Below are 26,013 nucleotides of genomic sequence, written 5' to 3' on the forward strand. Positions count from 1 at the left end.
GATACTGATAAAAAATGAAAAGAAAATTCACAGACTAGGAGAAAAAAATTGTGATTTATATTCCTGATAAAAATTTTGTGTCCAGAATGTATAAAGAATACTCAGAAAAATAAAGAATACTCAAATTCAATAATCAGAATTGAAAGCAGGGACAGAAAGAGTTATTTGCACACCCATGTTCACAGCAGCATTATTCACAACAGCCAAAGTGCCCGTCCGTGGATGAATGGATAAACAAAATGTGGTATAAATGTATGGACAACATGCTATGGATTATTATTCCAGCTTTAAAAAGGAAGGAAATTCTGAAATATGCTACAATGTAAACAAACCCTGAGAACATTACGCTAAGTGAAATAATCCAGTCACAGGAAGAGTAATACTGTATGATTTCACTTATATGAAGTACGTTTTTAAAAAATTATTATTATTTTTAAGAATAACAGATAAGAATAACAGACAGATGGAGTCTCTCTCTGTCACCCAAGCTGGAGTGCAGTGGTGTCATCATAGCTCACTGCAGCCTCAAACTCCTGGACTCCAGGGATCCTCCCTCCTCAGCCTCCTGAGTAGCTGGGATTACAGGCATGAGCCTTCATGCCCGGTGTATTAGTCCGTTCTCACACTGTGACAAAAATGCTACCTGAGACTGGGTAATTTATAAACAAAGGAGGTTTAATTGACTCACAGTTCTGCATGGTTGGAAAAGCCTCAGGAAACTTACAATCATGGCAGGGGAAGCAGGCACGTCTTACATAGTGGCAGGCAAGACAGAGTGTGTGAGAGAACAGGAAAAACTACCATTGATAAATCCATCAGATCTCATGAGAATTCACTCACTATCATGAGAACTACATGAGGAAAACTGCCCCCATGATCCAATCACTTTCCACAAAGTCACTCCCGAAATACCTGGGGATTAAAATTCAAGATGAGATTTGGGTGGGGACACAAAGCCTAACCGTATCCCCTGGCTATATGAGATACTTAGGAGTAGTCAAATTCATAGAGATAGAAATTTGAATAGTGGCTGCCAAGGCCTGAAGGGAAGGAGAGAGGAAAGAGGAGTTATTGTATAATAGGCACAGAATTTCCATTTTACAATGAGGGGTTCTGGAGACAGTAGCATGGTATGAAATTGTGATGATGGTAGCATGGTGTGAAAGTACTTAATGCCACAGAGCTGCACATATAAAGATGGCTAAGACAGTAAATTTTAAGTTATGTGTATTTTACTGCAATTTTTAAAAACTCAATAATAAGAAAACAACCCAATTTTATAAATTGAGCAAAACATTTGAATAGATACTTCCCCAAAGAAGATATACAGATGGAAAATAAGCATATAAAAAGATATTCAAAATCATTAGTCACTAGGGAAACACAAGTGAAAACAACAAGAGATCACCACAAACCTATTAGGATGGCAAAAATTTAAAAAAGACTGACCACACTAAGTTCTGGTAAGGATATGGAAGAATTGGGACTTTCATACAGTGCTGGTGAGAATATGAAATAGTACAACCACTTCAGAAAATAGTTTGGCAGCTTCTAAAAAAGTGAAATATACACTTACTGCATATAATCTATACCTTCCACGCTGGCTGGATTTGGATTTCAGATTTTTGGATTAGGGGTGCTAATCTTTCTCTCTCCCAAGAGAAATGAAAGCATATACTCACACAGAAATTTGTACAAAAATGTTTACAACATTTTGAGGCACTGCAATGTCACTTCCTTTGTAGTGCCTCAAAACCGGAAATAGCCCAATGTCCATCAACAAGTGACTGGATAAACAAATAGAGGTATATCTACATGGTAGACTACTACCCAGCTCATTTTTATTACTACGCTTTTATTTAAAAAAAGGAACATGAATGAATCTCAAAATAATTATGCTGAGTTAAAGAAGCCAGACAAAACAATAGAACATACTACATGATTCCATTTATATAAAATTCTAGAAAATGTGAACCGTCTATAATGACAGAAAGCAGATCAGTGACTGCCTGCGTATGGGGGAAGAAGTAGAAGGGGAGGAAGGCATTACAAGGGAGCACGAGGAAACTTTTAGGGGAATGGGATGTTTTCATTACCTTGGTTGTGTTGATGGTTTCATGGATATATATACATAAGTCCAAATTTATCGAATTACACACTTTAAATATGTGCAGCTTATTGTAGGTCAATTTTATTTCAGTAAAGACAGCCTTATGAACTCAGACTTGATCTGCCTTGGCGGATTCCATCTGTTGGTGGAGATTGAGAATCATAACAATTTGGAATTTTTACTTTGGGAAACAACCAAGGAAGACAACCTGGGAACAAATGTTGCTGAGCAACGTGGAGAGTTTTGAAGAGATTGAAAATGGTTCGTTTGCTCTGCATTTAATCAGCGTGGAAGGCCTCAGCGTCACAAGATATTGGAGCTAGAAGGGATCTCAGCAAGATGAAATGAAGTCCAGTTTATTTTACAGATCAGGAACTGAATCCAATAGAGATAAAGGGACTCGCCTTAGGTCACACAGCTTACAAAGCTAAAAATAAAATGTGGTTCTCTGAGGCTTAATCCTATGCTGGTTTTCTTTCTATACAGTATCTAATAGTTATAATAAACCTCAGTCTATGGAAATATAGAATGATACCCAACAGATGCTGAGTTCCCTCATGGCTATGTGGGTGGCCTTGAAGCATTGTCAGTGCTATAGCAACACTGTCTTCCTGGCCACCCTCAGGGTCTAGGCAACCTGGAACCAACACAGGATTTGAACTCCTTACAGCCACGACCAGTTCTGCTGTAACGCTGGTCTTAAAAACACAAAGTTATTGCACACGTGATTGATATACAGGTTGAGCATCCCTAATCCAAAAATCTGAAATCCAAAATGCTACAAAATCTGAAAGTTTTTGAATGCCAACATGATGTCACAAGAGGAAAATTTCACATCTGACCTCATGGGATGGCTCACAGTCAAAACACAAGTGCACAACATACAGTTTATTCAGCATTGCCAAGGGAAAAATAAAATTACCTTTAGGCTATGTGTATAAGGTGTATATGAAACATAAATGAATTTCGTGTTTAGACTTGGGCCCTGTCCCCCAAGATAGCTCATTATGTATATGCAGACATTACAAAATCCAAAAAAAAATCCAAAAGCAAAAATATGTCTGGTCCCAAGCATTTCAGATAAGGGATACTCAATCTGTCTTAGGAAACAATATGAGCATAATGCAAATTTGGTTTGGTGACGTGAGATCTTATGAATGAGAAACACTAGGTGAAAGCAGAAAACTGCTCTCAGCTGAACTGAGCTGCTTGATAATACGCAAAATGCACACACAGCACACACCTCAAACATCTATTAGCTACTTCAGTTCACTATGTGTGTTATGATTCCCACCCATCCACTTATGGTGTTACAACACTTCCATCCTAATTTTTGCCATCCTGATAGGTTTGTGGTGATCTCTTATTATTCAGGTAACTGAGTTCAGGTAACTTCCTTCCCACACTCCCCAACAAGTCACAAGCTGCAACCTTTCCCATGCCCACTTCCACAAATTTCAGATCTTGTTTAAAGCAAGGTGCCTTATTTGTTGTATTCTTTGTGAATTTCTTAACCATTTAACTGTGTAAAACTGTTCTACTGTCTTTATTAGGCTCCAATGCCTTTTTAGAAATCTGTCACTGAAGAAAATTTTGAGTGTTGACACCCTAAGCCCATTTTTTTCCTATTGTGCATTGCATACTGACTTTTTTGAGGGCATATGTTTATTATAGCAGAACTATATTGGGAGTGTGAAGTAGATCCTTAAAAGACTGATCTTGGGTCCAGTACTATGTGCGTGCACACACACACACACACACACCCCTTGTTTAGCTACTACTAGGCAGATTTCCTGTCATATACATTTGTTCAGGGCTGATAAGAGAAGTAAGTACCCTCTTCAGAGTCAGCCAACACAATGATTCTTAGTGGCAGGATATGGGTCCCTGGCTCCTCCTGACCAGTGACTGATGTAGGATAGAATAGAAACCATTAGCACTAGTCAACCAGTGGAGACAGCATTAAATCAGTTCACATATGATGGATTGCGCTTAGCAATGACCCATCCTCTTAGTATGTCAGGTGCTGGAAACAGTGTAGGTCAAAATATGTTTCTTCATGGTCGGCATCAGAATAACGTAGGGAACCAAATAGAATAAAGATTCCTGAGCCCCAAACTACTTTTTACCTAAAACAGCTGGCTCTTACTCTGTTTTATTTATCATTATTGTTCAATTACAATGGCTTTTGTCCAATTTTAGACAATTATTGTTGACTATTTGTCATGGTGCCACGTGTTGACCTATTGTGAGGAATTGGGGATTGACAGAAAGGAAAGTGCCAGAGAGGGGCCTGGCATATTAGAGAGTGTTGTACTATAGCTGGTTCATTAGGTTCATATCCCATCTGTCTGTCAACATTTTTTTTTTAGAACTTTGAATTAAATTCTCTGGTGCATTCTGAAACAAAGATAGGACATCTGTAGTTTCCTAATGAATAATTTCTCCCTTCTATAATCTAGCCCTGATTAACTGGCACTAAGTTCTTTATTTGTGTACAAGATGGCTTGGGAACAAAACAGCAGTTAAAAATTACAGTGATATTATGAGTGCATTTAAATAATATAATTATTTTTCTGGAGAAGATAACCATTATTATAATGTACCATACAGTAATGCCTTGTAATCAGCAACTGTTAATGTGATGTTTTACATCTTTTGCCTTGAAAAGTGAGTACTGTATTTTATTATCATTCAAGTCACAGGCAAAATAATCAAAGAGCTTAACTCCCTTCTTAATAGTTCCAAATATGTATCGTAAAATAACTCTAGTGCTTAGTATGCTGGGAGGAAAAAAACAAGTTGTAACTTCTGGTATGTACAATAGGACATTGTAATAAAGATATATTTTTGAAATAAGCAATGAAGAAAATGGATATGAAAGCAGCAGAATTAAAATGGATTTGCTTTGTCTCTTTAGAAATTATTGAAACAAGAACTACCAAGACGGAATTTATTACCCATGTTTTGTAAAATAGCACCACTTATCAGAGAATCGATGTGAGAATTAGCTAAGTGCTGGAAACCATTCCCAGGAGTCATGCTGACAATTCATCTTGCTCATCCTCTTTCTAAACAAAGCTTCACTTTTCTTCCTTAAGAATTCCCTTGGTCTGGCCGGCACCGTGGCTCACGCCTGTAAGCTCAGGATTTCGGGGGTCCAAGGCGAGAAGATAACTTGAGGTCAGAAGTTGAGACCAGCCTGACCAACATGGTGAAACCTCGTCTCTACCAAAAATACACAAATTAGCCAGAGGTGGTGGGACACGCTTGTAGTCCTAGCTACTTGGGAGGCTGAGGCAGGAGAATTGCTTGAACTCTGGAGGCAGAGGTTGCGGTGAGCTGAGATCGTGCCACCGCACTCCAGCCTGGGCGACAGAGCGAGACTCCGTCTCAAAAAAAAAAAAAAAAAAAAAAAAAAAAAAAAAAAAAAAAAAAAAAGAAAAGTGTTAAACCTGGTGAAGTATTTAGGGGTAAAATATCATAGTATTTATAACTTACTTCCAAAGGGGAATAAATAAGTAAGATCATTTTCAGAGAGAGAAAAAGCAAATATGGTAAAACATTAACCACTGTTGAATCTAAGAAGGAGATATATGGATGTTCACTGAACTATTCTTTCAACTTTTCCGAATGTTTGGAAATTTTTATAATAAAAATTGGAGAGAAAGGAATGCACAGTGTAGCCATTTAAGGTCCATGAAAATATTTCCATTCACTCCAGAAACCCCTGAAAGCATATCCTAGCCTGTGAGCGTGATTTAGCATGTAATTCTAGGTTTATGGCTCCGGATGCCACGCCTCTAAAATTATGGCTGAAGAAGAAGGAAGTGAAACTCGAAACTGCCGTACCCACCATAATTCTTCTGATACTGAGTATGTTCCCCTCCAGAGGTATGACTTGTACACTGAATGTTAACAGTAGTTTTCTACCTTTAGGACTGTTGTCTTAAGATTATTTATCTTTCTATGGCTGACTAGAAACTGAATTGCTACAGTGTGGAGATCAAAATGAGGAGCTTCCACAGATAATGATTTTCACGTAGTCTTCACACTGATGAGATTTGTGAAACAGGAAAAGTTTTCTAAATAGACTTGAGTCCACAGGTAAAATTTTATTTATCAAAATAAATGACAGTGTGGGTTTATTCATGGAGTGAAATCACAGAATTAGGATTTTCTCCTGGAAGAGTCATAGGTGTTTCTGGGTTATACATGTTTATATTTGCTACTTATGTATGTTTCTATTTCAGGAGGTTGAAGCAACAGATTCATCTCAGATCTTTTCCTCTCTCCTTGTCATCATCTTTCTTCTCCAGGGCCCATTACTTCCATCTCAGTATTTCATACTTGCAGTGTGGCTCTGAGCAAAGGACCACATCTTGTCTGCAGAGTGACGAGAGGAGCTAAAGCATCTCACAGCCTTCCTGGTTCTGATATCTGCTCAGCCTAATTTTCCATCTTTCTTTCTCTCCCTTTCTTCCTTCCTTCCTTCCTTCCTTCCTTCCTTCCTTTCTTTCTTTCTTTCTTTCTTTCTTTCTTTCTTTCTTTCTTTCTTTCTTTCTTTCTTTCTTTCTTTTCTCCTTCTCTTTCTTTCTTTCTTTCTCTTTCTTTCTTTCTTTCTTTCTCTCTCTCTCCCTTCCTTCCTTCCTTTCTTTCCTCTTTCTTTCTTTCCCTCCCTCCCTCCCTCTCTCTTTTTCTTTCTTTCTTTCTCTTCTCTTTTTTTTTTTTTTGACAGAGTCTCTGTCTTGTCACCGAGGGTGGAGTGCAGCGGCACGATCTGGGCTCACTGCAACCTCTGCCTCCCAGGTTCCAGTGATTCTCAAGCCTCAGCCTCCTGAGTAGATGGGATTACATGCATGCATCACCATGCCCAGCTATTTTTTTGTGTGTTTTTAGAAGAGACGGGGTTTCATCATGTTGGCCAGGCTGGTCTTGAACTCCTGACCTCAAGTGATCTGCCTGCCTTGGCCTCCCAAAGTGCTGAGATTACAGGCGTGAGCCACTGCGCCCAGTCCCTCATTTTCATTCGCCAGCAAATTGTCTTGTTTACTCTTCTGACCTCCTGGGAACCCACCAGCCCCAGGATCTCTCTAATCAATAAATTAAATGCCTCCTCTTCTGAAACAGGAGCAATGATATTATCTCCGTTCTCTCTCACTCTCTCTCTTTCTCCTTTTCTACTAGCTTCCATTTCTGTAAGTCCAACAGATATCTACCTTCTGATTCCTAATATCAGCCATTAGGCTAGCTGACCTATTAACCTTTTCACAGTTGGCTTGCCTCTGCACCTGCTGTATCCATCATAGTTTTACATTTCCTGGAAACCAAAAGACTCTTAAAACATGTTTAGTAAATACTGTTTCCATTCTCCTAATGATGCACATTCATGGCAAGTGACAAGTCTAATGTGCTCAGCTGGACCTAGTCATAATCTCTCTGAACCCCTTAGGTACAGCCCCGTGACTTCCCAGTTGCCAAATATTTTCATCTCCCTTACCATGAGCATCTGGTTTCAGATGCATGGTTAAAGATATGACCAGACAGACAGAGAAGCACCTCAGCAGAGCTTCCTAAAACACCTTCAGGATGGCAGGCATTGTGTATGCTCAATCTGCTGCTGCTATTATTAGAGTCACTTCATACTGACTAAGCTGTTATTGAGGAAGAAGTGGATTAAGACTTATGGAGTCTGAGTGGTAAATGCATGATGCAGGGCTTTTAGGGCAAGATCGGTGGCATGCAGTTTTATTCAGCACCACACCTCAAATGCTCAGCAGGGCAACCTGTGTTAAGGGCACTCTCTAAGCAGCAACCAGGCAGTTCAAATGTTTGAATGACTCATCCTAATTGACCTTCTACTGCAGTCCAACCAGCCTCAGGGATGGGCAGTCTGGCAGCATGGTGCCACAAGATAGGAAGCATGGAGCAAAGGAGGGGAAGCAAGGCAGCTGACAAATGTCCACAGACTGGGCAGATGAGTCACATTGTCCCCCTGTGCCTCTGCTTCCCCATGAAGTTCAGGGACAAGAACACCTGCCTCCTATTTGTCTTCTGAGGTTGTTTTGAGGACTGGAGATAATGTTGGCCAACTGCTTAGAACTCTGAAAATTGCTAGAGCAGAAATACAAATGGAATGTCAAATCACAGTGGACATTTTGAACCCTAGCCTCTCCAATAGATAGAGGTGTGCCATTTAAGTCTTTAATTAATGCAATGTCATTACATGACAACCTAACTAGTAATTAGAGAGCCGTTAGATACAAAAAACTCAACTAAATTGTGATGTGGCTGCTTCTCAAGTAGAGTCCTTATAGATGGGGGCAGAGAAAGAAAGAGCCCTTGAGAGGTGCATGCTGGACACTGTAATTTTTTGTAAATGGTATCTGTTCAGAGTGGGTATGGAAGAAGAGCCCAGACCAGGTGCGGTGGCTCACGCCTGTAATCCCAGCACTTTGGGAGGCTGAGGTGGGTGGGTCATTTGAGGTCCAGAGTTCAAGACCAGCCTGGCCAAACCTGTCTCTACTAAAAATACAAAAATTAGCCAGGTGTGGTGGCGTGCACCTGTAGTCTCAGCTACTCAGGAGGCTGAGGCAGGAGAATCACTTGAACCCAGGAGGCAGAGGTTGCAGTGAGCTGAGATCTTAAAAAAAAAATAAAAAGAGGAAAGAAGATCCCACCACATTCCAACAGAGACAGCTGATGACAATCTACTTGATACTTGAGTTGGATCCAGAGTGGGGTGTGTACCTGCTGGCCATTTGCCATGGATCTGACTCATGGACCTGACCTGTGCCCAAGTGAACAGGGAGCAGCACTGTGGGCAAAAAGCACACCCAAGTGAAGTCCCTAGATAGAGGTGGCTTCTCCAGAGAGAGAATAAATAATGAATAAGAAAATTAGATATCTGGGCTTCATTTATTCCTACAGGAAACAGAAAAGAAAAATTGAGAAAAATTTACATCCTTAGAAGACTGCAAAGTAACTCACCTCTCTGAAGCAGAATCAGAAAACCATAGAACAGGTTGAGGTGGAAAGGCAATGGAATGAAAGGAAAAGGGAGATGAACTCGGATAGCAGAGTTAAAATTCATAATAGAGATAATGAGGAACAGAATTGGCAATGTGATGTCACCTTTCTCAAGGCAGTTTAGAACATGTTGCTGGGCATGGTGACACGTGCTTGTAGTCCTAGATACTTGGGAGACTCAGCTGGGAGGATTGCTTGAGCCTAGAAGTTCAAGACCAGCCTGGGCAACAAAAAAGAACATGTATTAATGTACTTAAATACATATGTGGCCTTTTACCCAACAAGTCATTTCTAAAAATTTAATAAGAGGAAATAGCAGTACAAATTTGCAATGATATAATATATGGAATGTTAATCAGGGCTTTTACAGTAGAAAAATCAAACAGAAAAGAACCTGAGTGTCCACCAATAGAGAAGTAGTTAAATAAATTATGGTATTAAAAGATCATAATATTAATATGAAAATAATATGAAGCAACTATTAAACTAATTTATTTAGCACAGAAAGATATTTATTTAGCACATGCTATGTTATTAAAGAGATATAATGCAGGAAACAAAATAATACATAGAGTAAGATAGTGTTGTTTTTTTTTTTTAAAGTCTATGTGTGTATGAAGCATAGAAAAAGAAGTCCAGGCTGGGTGCGATGGCTCATGCCTGTAATCTCAGCACTTTGAGAAGCTGAGGTGGGAGGATCTCTTCAGCTCAGGAGTTCAAGACCAGTTTGGGCAACATAAGAAAACTTTGTCTGTACGAAAAATAAAAAATTAGCTGGGTGTGGTGGCACGCACTGTAGTGCTAGCTACTCAGGAGGCTAAGGTGGGAGAATTGCCTAAGCCCAGAAGGTTCAGGGTACAGTGAACCATGATTGCACACTGCACTCCAGCCTAGGCAACAAAGCAAGACCCTGTCTGAAAAAGAAGGAAAAGAAAGCAAAGCAAAACAAGAAAGCAAGGAAGGAAGAAAGAAAGGAAGAAAGGAAGAAAGGAAGGAAGTCTGGAAAGACTGCATTGTTCACTTTTGCTGCATAACAGACCACCCTAAAACTCAATGGCTTAAAAAATAACAACCATTTCTTTCATTCATCATTTTGCAGGGCAGCAATTTGGGCTGTGTTCAGCTGGGCCGTTCTTCTAGTCTTAGGCTCATTCATGCATCTGTGGCCTGCAGCCGGTTGCCTGAAAACTGGTCCCACCAGTCTCTGCTCTACCTGGCCTCTCATTCCCCAGAAAACAAGGCTGGCTTTGTTCATAGAGTGTCCCCCAAGGTTCTGAGAGCAAGAGTGAATCCTGAGCTGATACCTGGTGTGCTACTTCTGCCACATTCTGTTGGCCAAAGTAAGTCACAAAGCTAGCTCCGATTCAAGAGGAGAGCAAATAGACTCTTCATATCTTGTATCTCTTGATATAAGGAACTGCCAGGTCACACGGCAAAGAGGTGTGAATTCAGGAGAGGAAATAATTGTGGCCATTTTTGCATATAATCTGACACAAAGATACTATATTCTAAAATGTTAGCAGTGCATATTTGAGATATGAAATTACAGGTGATTTTTATTTTATTATTTAAATGTTTCTGTGCTAGCAAAATTTTTATAATAAGCATGTATTACTTTTATTGCCAAAATCAAGTTATTTCTATCTTAAAATTTTATTAAGAGGTTTTTTTTGGGGGGTGGGGGGATTGTTTGTTTGTTTGTTTGAGCCAGAGTCTGGCCCTTTTGCCCGGGCTGGAGTACAGTGGCACAATCTTAGCTCACTGCAACATTCACCTCCCAAGTTCAAGTGATTCTCCTGTCTCAGTCTCCTGAGTAGCCAGGACTACAGGTGCATGCCACCACACCCAGCTAATTTTTGTAGTTTTAGTAGAGATGGGGGTTTCCCCATGTTGGCCAGGCTGGTCTTGAACTCCTACCTCAGGTGGTCTGCCCGCCTCGGCCTCCCACAGTGCTGGGATTACAGGCATAAGCCACTGCACCCAGCCTAAGAGTTTTTAATGGCATTGCAAAATTATCACAATATACTCTTAAGTTTAAAAGCATGATAAAAAAAATCATGAAGTATATACATAATATATCCTAAAACATTAAAATATACAGAGAAAGGTCTAGAAAGAATTATAAAAATGTTAACAATGGTACTGTTTGGATGTAGGGTTATGAGTATTTTTATATTTTAATAAACTTTCTAAATTTTCTGCAATTAAAAGGAATTAATAATTAGAAAAAAGCAAAAAAGCAAAAAATAAAGTTTTTTAAAAGGGACATTTAAAGAAGGCTGGGCATTAATGTTCAGAAGACATCCTGGAAACAAAAATAATATGCCACACACCGAGAATGATTAACTCATTTCTCTGCACCTACAGCCTAATGATAGGAAGATATTTTTTGCTGAAAAACAATGATGAGCTTGTTTGTCTACTTATACAGAAGTATTCAGAAAATGTCACTAATGTGGATTTGAAGAAAATTACAGTGTAAATCCACATTCTCCAACACAATAGAAACTCGCTATTTTATAGTTGTTGGCACTGCCCAGTTAATAATATAGCTTCTGCTATATTGGTTTATTACATCCGTTTCTAACTGATTGGTACTCCAGGCGCAGGAGTGATTGATTGACACCATTAACCTCTAACAGAGTGATCTCAGAGAAAGGCAGACTAGGGTAGGGCAAGAAAGACATCTAGGGCACAAAATTTAAGGAGGCACTCCTTTTTAAGGCCAACTCTATACTTGCATGACCCTGGGAGTGAATGTTCCCTTAAATTTTGCTTCCTAGGTATCTCTCTCTCCTCACTCTGATCCCAACCATGTCTTAGAGAACTGGTCTTACCTTTCTTAACCAGAACAGAAGTACTCTCCAATTGTGTTTTTCATGCTACGGTACTGACAGTGTCTTAGCTGAGGCTCCCAAAAAAAAGAGCCTGAAGCAGAGGCCTTATGCATGGGTACCTTACCAGGAAATGCAATTCCAAAGAGCAGGAGTAAAGCTCCAGGGCAGAGAAGCAGAGAAGGAGAAAGGACCAATACCAAGATGATGTATCAAGCTGACCACCAATAAACACAACTGATTTCCCAAGCCATAAGATTGTACCCCTGCGAAACCACATACACACCATCTCAGCATCATCTTGGGGAAGGAAAGGAAACAAAGGAAGAATTTATCCATTGACTCCCATCTTTCATTGGTCAAAATTTCTCCCTCAGGAGCATCAACTCCCCCACACTGCCAGGTCACACTTGAGCAGTATCACTCTCAGATCCAGACAAGAAGGACCGCTGCCCGGGGCTTCATGCTTCGGTTGTAGATCACAAACCCTGCCTCTCATCAGTATACATACAGAGAAAAATCAAAGAGCATGTCTCACTTGGAATCCTGCCATCAGCACTGGCATGGCACAACCTCTAACCCTAAACACCTGCTCCTATGAGTAACACTCTTCTGGTCCCAGGGGAATACATCTTCTCATGGCTCTTCCATCCTCCAAACAAAAGCCAGCTGTGTCAAAATACCAAGAAGATTTGTAGAGTGTTCCACCACTGACATTGGAGGCCAGTGCCTTTTAGGAGTTCAGGACAGATTTGAGCAGCAGATCTGCTTAGGTAACAAAAAAGACTGATTTGTTAGTTTGTCAAATCCTTCTCAGAGAGCATGAAAGCAACAAATTTTCCATAGTGAAGCATGTCCCAATAGCACCAAGCATTCTTATTTTTTTGGTGTGTTCCAATTAATGGTTCTGGAGTAACTGACGAATTAATGCTGTATTCACAATTGCATATGGTGGCAGAGGCACATTTTGTAACACCGAATAAATCGTTTTACTCTTAAATGTGTATTATCCCTCAGATCTGAATCCACCTATATTTTTTTTTGTGAGGCGTTACTGAAGCTCTGCAAACTACATTTTTACTTTCTGCCAATAGGGCATGCTAGAGGGAGACTGCAAGGCCAGAGAAGGGAGGGGCTGGCTCCTCCCCCTGTTTACTGGATGTTCCTGTTGGCAACAGCCCCACAATAGCCCTTCAACATGGCTGGAACTGCCACTGCTTGTCCAGTGTCCAGCTATTTTGCGCAGTCCCAGAACCAGCCTCATGACACCCCTTTGGAGACATCAGCACTACCCAGGCAACGCCTCCTGTTCAAAATCCGTGCCCCAGTTCTGCAGGGTTCTGAGCTTCTAGTTTCTTCTTTCTGCAGATGATGGCTTCTGCAGATACTATGTGCATGTACCTTCATGTCACCTTTTCATTTTTTTAGTCCTCTGATACCTGTTCAACCAATCCCTTAATTTTTGCTGTGAAAACAACTAGTGTGGCTTCTGTTTTCCTAACTGCCCCGATCAACACTGTGGATCTAAATGTGGGAAGCAAGCAACATGACAATTCTTTACAGTGCAACTACGTGGACAGAGTGCACTGGGATTGTGAATGGCTTTATTTTCCAAACTTATTTCATATAAGAGCTAATTAAACTGTTAACGAATTGAATAAACTTCCATTTTATTAAGATACTTTAAGTTTGCATTTTTTATATTAATGCATTATGATTTGAATTGATTTGGTCTTCTAGTTTTAATAAATGGTCTTGAATATTTTAGAAGAAAAAATACCTTATTTTAAAAACATATTATTTTAGAGTTCGCCACAGAGAGAGAGAGAGACAGAAAGAGATTTATTTCAAGAAATGGGCTCAGGCGATTGTGGGGGCTGGCAAGTCTGAAATCTGTAGGTCAGGCCAGCAAGGCTGGAAGCTCTTGGGCAGGATTGATGCTGCAGTCTTGAGGCAGAATTTCTTCTTGATGGAAACCTCAGTTTTTGCTCTTTAAAGGTCTTTCAGCAGGTTGGATGAGGCCTACTAACATTATCAAGGGTCGTCTCTTTTACTTAAAAGTCAACTGATTGTAGACATTAACCACATCTACACAATACCTTCACAATAACACCTAGATTAGTGTTCACTTGAATAACTGGCTAGTATAGCCTAGCCAAGATGATACATAAAATTAACCATCTCACATATATAAAATAATTTTTTATTTTTGAAAATTCACTTTATATTTTTGTAAATATATTCAAAGTTTATGTACTTGAAAGCTGTTATATTTTATTTAGAAATAATACAAAAGTAGAGCTCAGAAAAAAAACAAACGGCTTACCCACACCAAAATGTTGGCCTGCTGGTTAACCTCTTCTGCCTCAACACTACCTCCTGCCTCCACAGACCCATCCCTAACATTTACAGGGCCTGAGGCAAGCGTACACCTGAAGCTTACTCACATTTTCTTTTTAATCAATAATTGTAACCTCCATTTGGTACAAAATTTGCAGTTGCAGAAATTTTATCTATTTGTTCAAGTTGTGTGGTTGTGTGTTTGATGAGAATAATTTTCTTGCTCATTTTCATTGTTTTTGATGAGTAATTAAATCTTTGTTAAACTTAGAATTTGTAATGTAATGTCTTGTTTGCTAATTTTATGATGATCATACTCAACTGAAGGCTGGTTATTTTCATTGTTTTCAGGTTTTGAAATTTAAGTAGATCGCAATCTCTTTGAGGATTTCCCATTTTGGAAAATCTTGAATACTTTTGCTCAGCATGCTCTAATTTGGCAATGTCCCTTAAACATGTGGTGAACAGAGTATAAAAACATTTATGGCCCTTGGTATATTCTGTCAAATTGCTTTATAAAAACTCATAATCACTTATGTGAATACTTTCATTTATTAAGTTTTTTGGCAGATTTGGTCAACCAAATTGATGGTAGGCCAAAAATGATACCTCGTTTTTGTTTCAATTATTGGTGAGATGGGCAAAACAGTTTCTCAATGTGTACTGAAACCAATAATTTGTATCACAAGGCATATGAGTATTTATAATTCCTGGCCAAGTAATTCTACCTGTCAATTTATTCTAAGGAAATAATCTGTACTAAGTATAAAAATTTTTTTTCTAGAGTTAATGATGTTGGAAAAGTGAAACCAATGTTCAATTCTTGGGAACTTATTGTTTAATTATAATAAATTTATTTATCAACTTTATGCAGTCCCTAAAAATTACCACTATATTAAGGCTATACACCATCATGGGGTGGCAGGGTGGAGGAAACGGGCAGGGAGACTCATAAGGGAAAAACAAGAAACACAAAAAACTCAAGATACTAATTAACTGGACATTTTAAGTACAGTGAAATTTTAAAGGGTGCATTAAAAAGGCTAGAAGGAAATTCATCAGAATATTACTGGTAGTTATATTTAGGGTCACAGGATTACAAGCATTTTCTTCTTCAATTGCCGTACAAAATTTTCTATAAAAGGGTTCTATAACGTTTTCATTGGAAATAAAAGTTTTTTTTTTTTTAAAGACTCCTTATACCCCACCAAAACTTTTTTTTTTTTTTCTGAGATGGAGTTTTGCTCTTATTGTCCAGGCTTCATGATCTCGGCTCACTGCAACCTTTGCCTCTGAGGTTCAAGTGACTCTCCTGCCTCAGCCTCCCAAGTAACTGGGATTACAGGCACCCACCACCACACCTGGCTAATTTTGTATTTTTAGTAGAGATGGGGGTTTCATTATGTTGGCCAGGCTGGTCTCGAACTCCTGACCTCAAGTGATCCACCCTCCTCGGCCTCCCAAAGTGCTGGAATTACAGGCGTGAGCCAACACACCCGACCCCACCCAAACTTTGAACTCATAAAAAATCTGTATTATATAGAGCTAAATGAAATATTCAACTTTCATCACTTTCTTAGGATAACTTTGTTTCACAGAATTATTTACTGTGAAGGTAGAGACCATGGGACGAGGACTCCATCAGATTTTCTTTCACGACCTCCAAACGTCTTTGTGTACTGGGTGGTCCGTTCCTGCTGTCTTAGAGAAATATCCTGCCCATTTTCCAAAAGTAAGTCTCCCATTTCTCCTTAGTTTAACTTTCGGCTTTCTCACAAAACTTTGCACCATTAATTCTGGCCTCTCTTGTGCATTTGCCTCAATTTTCACTGGATCCTTCCCTAAAGGGTAATGATGTTGAGCCTCTTCTTGTGTGCTTACTGGCCATTTGTATTTCTTCTTTAGAATCCTTTGCCCATTTTTTAATTGGGTTGTCTTCTAATTTTTTAGTTGTAAGAGTTTTTAATAATTCTGGATATAAGTCCCACACTTGCCACAGCACTGTCAGCTGATCCTACAGGAAGCTCTAGAGCTGGAATAGCCCTTCAGAGTTGTTCTGTATTGAGGCAAGAGGGGTTGTGCTTCTCTAGTCATTGGAGGTAGGCTCTACCAGGGATGAGGGGAAGTAACCATGGCAATTCAGCTCTCTTCTGCCAGGACATTCCCCAGAAAGGGATGGAGCTGTAAGCAGTCGTCAATCAACACCTCCCTCCTTCAGCTGGGGAAATGAGTGCCTCCGTCCTGAACGGGAAATCTGGGCTGGATGGTGCATACCAAAGCAACTGCTACAGCTCGACTGTTCCAACGTCAGTGCTCTGACACCAAGTGGGTGTCCTACAATTCAATTCAGTTCTGATACTAACCACCAGGAGTTGGCACAAAGTCCTTCACAAGACTGCCCCCACTTCAGACATCAGCTGAAGTCTTGGGGCCACCCCCACTTCTGACTAGCTGGCTATAACCTTGGGGGTTCTCATGACCCCCTCAGGTTCAATAACTTACGAGGATAACTCATAGAATTCCTTAAAACATTATACTGATGAGGCCGGGCGCGGTGGCTCACGCCTGTAATCCCAGCACTTTGGGAGGCCGAGACGGGCAGATCACGAAATCGAGACCATCCTGGCTAACACGGTGAAACCCCGTCTCTACTAAAAAAAATTAGCCGGGCGTGATTAGCGGGCGCCTGTAGTCCCAGCTACTCGGGAGGCTGAGGCAGGAGAATGGCGTGAACCCGGGAGGTGGAGCTTGCAGTGAGCCGAGATCACGCCACTGCACTCCAGACTGGGTGACAGAGCGAGACTCTTGTCTCAAAAAAAAAAAAAAAGAAAAGAAAGAAAACAAAACAAAAAAAATTATACTGATGATTACAGTTTTACTGTAAAGCATACAACTCAGGAAAGCCAAATGAAAGAGACACACAGGGCAAGGTCTGGGGATGGTGGGGAGGACACAGCTTTGATGCCCTCTCCTCGTGGAATCTGGGCATGTCCTCCCTCCAGGACATCAGTGTTGCCAACCAGGAAGCTCCTCTGAGCATCAGAGTCCAGGGTTCTTTATTGAGGTTTCATTACACAGGCATGATGGATTAAATCACTGGCCATGTAATTGAACTCACTGTCCAGCCTTCCTCCCCTCCTTGGAGGCTGGGTGGCTGAAATTTCCAGTTCCCTAATCACAGGCTTGGTTTCTCTGATGACCAGCCCCCATCCTGAGGCCATCAGGGCCCCTCTCCCTCTATCACTTGGATAATTCCAAAGATTTTTTAAATCCCTGTGTCAGGAGCAAGGGACAAAACTCAGATATTTTTTATTATGCCACAGCTCATTGGCATATTAATAATTCTGGGATAGTCTGTAGGTTAAAAAAAAGATTTAACTTTGCTTAACCAGTTCTTCCTCAATTTATTTGACCATGGAGCCTCATTTTATAGACCCTACTTTTTCCTCCCACACAATACCTGTTAGTACCCTTTGAAAACACTCTTTGGGGAACAGTACTCAAATCCTTATTCCTCTGTGCTCTGAGGCTGCACTCCTAAGTCCCTGATGGCAGGATAGGCTACATCATGTGTAGGGCCTAGTACAAAACCAAAGTGTGGGGTTCCCTGTTCAAAAGCTACTAAGAATTTTAAGGCAGGCCAGGCATGGTGGCTTATGCTTGTAATCCCAGCACTTTGGGAGGCTAACGCAGGAGGATTGCTTTAGGCCAGGAGTTCAAAACACCAGCATAAGTGACATAGGGAGACCCCATCTCTTCCAAAAAAAAAAAAAAAAAATCAAGGCAGGAGCAGTAGAGCATTAGCCACTCATGGTTCCTCTGTGCACAGATCGTGTGCCCGTGAAGCCAGCCCGACCTGATGGACTCTCTCCTACTGTGTTTTCTATCTCAAGAATGACATCATCATCTATAGTGTCTCTGACTATCACTCTTGACTTTTCTTCTCTCTCTCTCCTAACAGCCAGTAAATCACCAGGTCCTGAATTCTCCCACTTAAATACCTCTCAAACTTGTCCACACCTCTTTATCTCCCCTGCCAGCCTTCCTAATGCAGGCTGACATCACCCTCACCTAGATTGCTTCAGCTTCCCCCACTCACTACTGCCAGCTCCCTCCTCCACTAAGCCTGCCAGGATATCTTTCTCAGGAAGCAAATCTCATCATGATTCCTGCCTCTCCTCCCTATCTGTCCCACCACGCTTGCAACAACACCTCAATGGTACTCCTTGCTTTGGGGATAAAGTGTAAACTCTTTAACATGGCTCATAGGATGCTTACTGCTGACTCTTCAAGTCTCACCTCTCACCATGACTGTTTTCCTCCTGGGGCCATTTTTTTCTCCTCTGTCCTCCATGTATCATAAGGTAGAGCCTCAGGTGTAGAGTCAGACATCATTAAAAAAAAAAAGGTCTCACAGGAGAATGGGACCAGCTGTACAGCAGGGACTCGCTGGCTGTGGCACATGGCCTGAGGACCCACAGCTGCTCTCCTGGTGGGCATAAGGTGGGGACAAGGGCAGCACAGTGCAGTGGCTGAAAGCAGGGCTCAAGAACCAGGCTGCCAAGACACTTAACACTTTTCCACCTCAGTTTCCTCATCTGTAAAAATGGGAATAATAAACATATCTACCTTAAATTATGGATGAAATGTGGACATTCCCTGGCAAGCAACCAGCCCCATGTAAGCATTCTGGCACAGCTCAAATTCATGCCTGCTTCTTTCCATTCCTGTCAGCCAACTACTTTTCCACTAGTGTTTCTCATGCTCATGTCCTCCACTCATGGTTTCTTCCTCAGGCCTGGACTCCCCCATAGCGTCTGCATGTTGCTTTCCCTCTGTATGAGCGTTGCTTCTACTCCAGTGTGTCAGCAACACAGCTCTCTCTTGAAACTTTCTGAACTCCTCAACAGAAAGAATCTGATTTGTCCAGAAAATCACTGCAGCGCCCGCGGGGCCAACTTACTGCAATCAGCTGAAGCAGGCACATGTGGATAACAGCACGACTGAAAACCACCACCTGGGATTGCTTCCACCTGTGGGGTTCAGGCGAAAAACCTCTCAGAGGGCTTGGCTGGGTGGAGCTGGCATTCTGGGTCAGAACCCATTCAGCATTCCCATGGGCTTGAAGCTCTGTGCTATCTCCACCTTATATCAGTGCCTTCCCTACCGTTCCAATTCTTCCCTTTATTATTTATTTATTTACTTATTTATTATTATTATTTTTGAGACAGTATCTCACTCTGTTGCCCAGACCTGAGCACAGTGGTGCCATCTCAGCTCACTGCAACCTCTGCCACCTTTCAGGTTCAAGTGATCTTCCCACCTCAGCATCCCCAGTAGCTGGAATCACAGGCACCCACAACCACGCCTGGCTAATTTTTGTGTTTTTAGTAGAGACAGGGTTTCACCATGTTGACCAGGCTGGTCTCGAACTCCTGGCCTCAAGTGATCCACCCGCCTCAGCCTCCCAAAGTGCTGGAATTACAGGCCTGAGCCACTGCACTTGGCCTTTATCTTCTTTTTTAAAATTTTGGTTTTGGCAGGACACGGTGGCTCACGCCTATAATCCCTGCACTTTGGGAGGCTGAGGTGGGTGGATCACCTGAGGTCAGGAGTTCAAGACCAGCCTGGCCAACATGATAAAACTCCATCTCTACTTAAAGTACAAAAAATTGGCTGAGCATGGTGGCACGTGCCTATAATCCCACCTACTCAGGAGGCTGAGGCAAGAGAGAATCACTTGAACCCAAGAAGTGGAGGTTGCAGTGAGCTGAGATCACGCCACTGCACTCCAGCCTGGGCAACAAGAGCAAAACTCTGTCTCAAAAGAAGAAAATTTTGTTTTCATATATTTTGTATAGAAAAAGCATGCATTACCTTCTTTTTTAAAATACTTCTAATCAGTCTACATTAACTTCTGTGAAAATACTGCCTGCATTTTGGGGTAAAAAAATTCTAAAAACAATTTCAGTAATATAAGAAATATCCAACTTAAATAACAAAGAACTACATCCAAATTACTGCTGCACTAGTTATTTCCACGTTTTCCATGTTTTTAAAATAACCATCTTACTTGGTACTATACACTCAAAGAGTAATTGTGAAAAGTCAGACAATTCAATGTGCCTCTAAAATCTCATTGAAAATGTATTGGCACTGGCTCAATTATAGGTGCACTTGCAGTAACAGAATGTGAATAAACTTCTTTTATACCATGTGAGAAAGTAAAACTTATGATTTATTAAAATATATATACACTAAATTTTAAACTATCCAGATATGCTGTATGGAACAGAAAGTAGAAATGATTTTATATAATAAGACGTGTGTCCTTGTCAGTTCATACATTCATTTCACATCTGAATACTGAAAGACAATTAAAAAGCACATTTAGTATTGCACCCTTTCATGTTTGTTTCTTTCCCACACTTTTCTCTCCAAAATCTTATTATGAATAATCTCAAAAATGTAGAAAAGTTGAAAGGATCATCCAGTGGTCACCCATACACTCACAGTTGATTTATCCATCCTCCTGTTGATGGATACCTGCACCATTTCCAGTTTGCGGGGTACTATGAATAAAACTGCTATGAACATTCTAGTAAAAGTCTCTTTGTAGATATATTATTTTATTTTGTGCTTTGAATGAATAGAAGTTTTTTATTTTAATGAAGCCCAATGTATCAACTTTTCCTTTTTATGGTTAATTCATCTGTATCCTAGTTATAAATTTTTTGCCTACCCCAATTCCATGAATATATTTTCTATATTTTTTTAGAAGCATTATAGTTTTGTCATTCACATTTATATCTATGATTTAATCATAAGTTCATTTTTGAGCATATTACAAGGGTCTTCCATGTAACTATTCGATTTTTTCATTTATTGAAAAAAAATTACCCTTTTCCCACTGAATTGCATTGGTGACTTTATCGTAAGCAAGTAACCATGTGTGCATGGATCTATTTCTGGACTCTATTTCATTAAGTCGTCTGTCTTTATGCCAGTACCACAATTCCTTTATGACTCTTTTAGGCTAAGTTTCAGATTAATTCTTAAAAAAAAAAAAAAAGATAAGATCTTGCTATGTTGCCCATACTGGGCTCAAGCAATCTTCCTTCCTCAGCCTCCCTAGTAGCTGAGGCTACAGGTGCATGTCACTGTGCCCAGTTTAGATTTCACGTTTAAGTTTGATGTCTCATGGGTTAGTCCTCCAAGTCAGTTCTCCTTCAAGATTGCTTGACTATTATAATTTTTTTTCTTTTTTCATATACATCTTAAAATCAGCTTGTCAAATTCCATGGTTAAAAACCTGCCGAGGCCGGGCACGGTGGCTTACGCCTGTAATCCCAGCATTTTGGGAGGCCGAGGCAAGCAGATCACCTGAATTCAGGAGTTTGAGACCAGCCTGGCCAACATGGTGAAATCCTGTCTCTACTAAAAATACAAAATTAGCCCAGCATAGTGGTGTACGCTTGTAGTCTCAGCTACTTGGGAGGCTGAGACAGGAGAATCATTTGAACTTGGGAGGCAGGGGTTGCAGTGAGCCGAGATTGCGTCATTGCACACCAGCCTGGGTGACAAGAGTGACACTCCATCTCCAAAACAAAACAAAACGAAAAAACCTGCTGAGATTATTGTTTTAATAGAATTGTATGAAATCGATGGATCAATTTAGGGAGAATGACATTTTGAATTGAGTCTCCCAATCCTCGAAATGGTGTATCTCTCTATTTAGTTAGGCCATCTTTAATTTTTCTTGGCAATGTTTTGTAGTTTTCATTATAGAAGTTTGCATATCTTTGATTAACTTCATTCCTGAGTATTAATTAGTTTTCCAACTAATCTTGTATCCAGCCATCTTTGCTAAATTCAACTTGTTTTTTCTAGAAATGTATGTGTTGCTGTGGTTGGATTTTATAAGTATATAAGCATATCTTCTGCCAATAAAGACAATTTTACTTCTTCCTTTCCAGTTGTACGTTTTTCTATTTTGTTTTTCTTTGTCCTTTTTTTCTTTTCTTTTTGTTTGCATAGGCTAGGAACTCCAGTACAACGTTGAAAAGAAGTGATAACCATAGATAGTCTTGTTTTGTTCCAATTTAAGCGGGAAAAATTCAATATTTTGCCATTAAATGATATTAGTTATTATTATGGTTGTGTTTTGTATGTGCACTGATGGTGTTCAGGACACACAACCCCAAAATGTGGAAGACCCTGGCATTTGAGAAAACAACAGAAGCAGGAAGGACTTTCTTACCTTCCCCTCACCTCTTCTCCCCTGAAGTAGGTCGTAAACCTCAGCAGTTCTGGGTCCTGTAAAGTAGGGCCTATGACTCTCGCTCCAGACGTGCCTGCTCTATACCTGGAGTAAAGGAATGCCCTTCTCTCTGAAGACACAGGGACACAGAGATTAATCTGAACAAACAGACCTTGCAGAGCTCCCCCTAGCTTATTACCATTGGATGGTAATAACCCCCCTTTGTCCAATCGTACTTTTGCGTGACTGTCCTCTCTTCATCAAACTTAAGCATAAAAATACACAGGTTTCCCCATTTCACTTCTGAAGGCTCCCATGCTTTTCTCTTGTTGATCTGTCTTCTGTTATAGATGCCTCATCCGTGAAACTAGTGATGGAGAAGAAAGGATTTCACTCTTTCTCCCCTGCAGTACCTTACCAAAATCAGCTAAATTCCCTTCCCAGCTTTAGAATGACACAAGCTTTTCTTATCTTCTTTCTGACTTTCTATCTCTTCTCTCACGCTGAAAATACTGATTCCTGATAATGTTATCATAGTTTTTGTTTTATGCTATAATATGCATAAAACAGTTTCAGAAATATAATGTAATAATAATAAAATAAAAAAGAAAAAAGTTTCAAAATTATAATATCAATATCAATAATGAAGTTACTACTAAAGTGGAAGATTTCTTTGTCCTTTTTTACACTTACATTTCGCTAAGGATGTATGGTCAGAGTTCTATGTTCTAAAGAGAGCTGAAATAATTCTTTTCTCTTTATAGTTGAATTACCAATCTGATACATAGTTAGATTGAGTTGTTTTTATCTTTTTTCAATTTTACAGTTTTATTTATTTTCTCAGGTAAACTATCATATCACTTAGAAATAAAGACAGTTTTGCCTCTTACTTTCCATCTTTTAACCTTCTAGTTGTCTTCCACTGTGTGATTGTATAGGCTACAATCTCCTAGGCAGTTAATTTGTTGTGGAGCTGGTGATCATTCTTGCCTGAGCAACAATGTGTACAGAATTCCCCAGTAAGTAAGGTCCTGCGTTGGCAGTGACAATGTATATTTTTATTTTTAAAAACTGTTCCCTTGGCCCAGCATGGTGGCTCACACCTGTAATCCCAGCACTTTGGAAGGCTGAGGCAGGAGGATCACTTGGGGCCAGGAGTTTGAGACCAGCCTGGCCAACATGATGAAACCCCATCTCTACTAAAAAAATGCAAAAATTAACTGGGCGTGGTGGTGCACACCCGGAATCCCAGCTAGTGGGAGGCTGATGTGCGAGAATCACTTGAACCTGGGAGGCGGAGGTTGCAGTGAGCCAAGATTGTGCCACTGCAGTCCACCCTGGGCAACAGAGCAAGACTTCATCTCAAGAACAACAACAACAACAACAACAAATAAACACATTTTAAAAACCTGCTCCCTCCTTTAGACTTCTATAAGTACAACCCTAAATCTGACCTTCCTTTTTTTTCTTTTTGGAGACAGTTTCACTCTTGTTGTAACTGGGATTACAGGTGGGAGCCACCGTGCCTGGCCCCTAAACTTCCTTACAGTTTTCTCTACCTCAGCCTTCTCCTTTCCACTCTGTCTACCCTACAGGGTTGATTCGTTGTTCAAATTATTTCTGTGATTACTCCACTTGGCTGTATATTCTGTAAAATGCAAACACATTCGTTTGGCATGTGAGGACTTCTACATGAGAAATAAGTGTTACAAGTACAGTACAAGACATGAGTGGCCTGAGATTGGGTTTTGGAGGGGGCATAGGCAGGATGCAAAAACAGATATGAAGGAAATCAGAGTCATATATATGTCTGCATAGCAAGAAACAGCAAATCCCCAGTGGGGTGAGCTGCAGAATAATAACCCAGAGTAAGACTGCAGCCAGAGAACAAAGGAAACGCTAGGAAATTCAACCTTTGTCTCAGGGCAAAAGACCTCTTTGAAGACCTGAGGTCCCTTCTTATTCATATTAATGAAGCAAATTTTTCTAGCTCCAAACTACCTTTCCAAACTTATTTCATACTATTGCCCTTGACAAACTCAGTTGGACTTAATTACTTTCTGTGCCATTTCTGCACTCGGATTTCCAATTATATCGATTTTGCCTCTGGCACTTTAAATTGGTCCTTTGCAGCTGTACACCAAATATCTGCTGGCCACGAACACGAAGCCCCCTACAAGGCTCATGCACAGCACAAGAGATTTGACTGTGTTCTAGACTCTAGTTGTTCCTTCTGCTCAATGCGCATCTCCTGATCACTACTCCCAGAAACAATCTCTAGCTTCTCTGAATTTATATACGGCTTTATCTGTACTTCTTTCCAGTATTGATTCCTAACTTCTACTTTAGCTATTAAAATACAGTCTTATTTATCCTCTAAATAAACTGGAAGCTTCCTTAAGTAACTCAGGTTGATCCATCTTCAGATTCCGATAACTTCTAGAATAATGACCTGAGCCATGGTAATAAATAATCATGAGTGACTGTGGTCTAATCATTACAGAAAACAATGGGCTTCAATAATCTTTTGCTGTGCTTTTATTAATACAAGCATTTGCCAGGGGAGGTGGCTCACACCTGTAATCCCAGCACTTTGGGAGGCTGAGGCAGGTGGATTGCTTGAGGCTAGGAGTTCAAGACAAGCCTGGGCAATGTGGCAAAACCCTGTCTCTACAAAAAATACAAAAATTAGCCAGGCTGTGGTGGCAGGCACCTGTAGTGCCAGCTATTCTGGAACCTGAGGCACAAGAATCTCTTGAACCCAGGAGGCAGAGGTTGCAATGAGCTGAGATCATACCACTGCACTCCAGCCTGGGCAACAGAGCAAGACTCTGTCTCAAACAAACAAAAAACTAATAATTTGACTTCTTCTTTAGTGGCAAACTATTAGGTAACATAAGTTTAAAATCAACAAAACCCTTTACTATTTTTTAAAGACTTTTTTTTCTTCTCTAGGTCTCCCTCAACTTGTATTTATGAGGCTAATCTTTACAATTTAAATATAAACTTATAAACCCATGCCACATTTTATCTTTTGAGAGTCTATCATGTAGTCTGCGGAGATCTTGATTCCATCACCCAACCTGTAATCTGTTCTTTCAACTTTGAGTCATATTCCTATTTGCTAACCATTTTTTTAGATCTTCATCAAGGTAACTAATAAAGATATGAACAATTCATGAATCCTGCATAAAGCTATTTTAAAAAATCCTCTAAGCAAATATGGGTTGTGTAAACAGAGATGTTTGGCCACTGTTGTTAAATTAGCTAGAAATCAAGTACAGATAGTTGTTTTATTTCCCATATGACATTTCCTGGACTCATCCACAAAGATATCCTAATTGTCTTTGTTGGGTGTCTCACTAAACCAAGAAATAACTTTCTATAACATTCCTCTCTTCTATCAGTCTTTCTTAAATTTGGAAAATAAGGTCAGTTTG

The 26,013-nt window shown here is 40.2% G+C and overlaps 1 long non-coding RNA gene across 1 annotated transcript, besides 4 other annotated features; it reads left to right on the plus strand.

Annotated features, from left to right (window-relative positions):
* Window positions 3,781–4,075: a silencer, noted in NCBI's record as "tiled region #15622; HepG2 Repressive non-DNase unmatched - State 24:Quies". NCBI's record gives its function as "represses a minimal TATA promoter and a strong SV40 promoter by Sharpr-MPRA in HepG2 cells {active_cell/tissue: HepG2}" and the evidence as "EXISTENCE:reporter gene assay evidence [ECO:0000049][PMID:27701403]".
* Window positions 5,817–5,966: an enhancer, noted in NCBI's record as "active region_22576". NCBI's record gives its function as "activates an Ori minimal core promoter by ATAC-STARR-seq in GM12878 lymphoblastoid cells {active_cell/tissue: GM12878}" and the evidence as "EXISTENCE:reporter gene assay evidence [ECO:0000049][PMID:35858748]".
* LOC124900981 (uncharacterized) lies at window positions 5,908–13,654 on the plus strand. Its single transcript, XR_007058778.1, has 2 exons — window positions 5,908–6,004; window positions 10,239–13,654. It is a non-coding gene; the product is annotated as an uncharacterized LOC124900981 (long non-coding RNA).
* Window positions 6,087–6,146: a silencer, noted in NCBI's record as "silent region_16029". NCBI's record gives its function as "represses an Ori minimal core promoter by ATAC-STARR-seq in GM12878 lymphoblastoid cells {active_cell/tissue: GM12878}" and the evidence as "EXISTENCE:reporter gene assay evidence [ECO:0000049][PMID:35858748]".
* Window positions 13,001–13,295: an enhancer, noted in NCBI's record as "tiled region #9364; HepG2 Activating non-DNase unmatched - State 13:Ctcf, and K562 Activating non-DNase unmatched - State 12:CtcfO". NCBI's record gives its function as "activates a minimal TATA promoter and a strong SV40 promoter by Sharpr-MPRA in HepG2 and K562 cells {active_cell/tissue: HepG2 | K562}" and the evidence as "EXISTENCE:reporter gene assay evidence [ECO:0000049][PMID:27701403]".
* Window positions 13,655–26,013: the final 12,359 nt, after the last annotated feature.

The sequence above is a fragment of the Homo sapiens genome, chromosome 5 (genome assembly GCF_000001405.40).
Source record: "Homo sapiens chromosome 5, GRCh38.p14 Primary Assembly".
Taxonomy (NCBI): domain Eukaryota; kingdom Metazoa; phylum Chordata; class Mammalia; order Primates; family Hominidae; genus Homo; species Homo sapiens.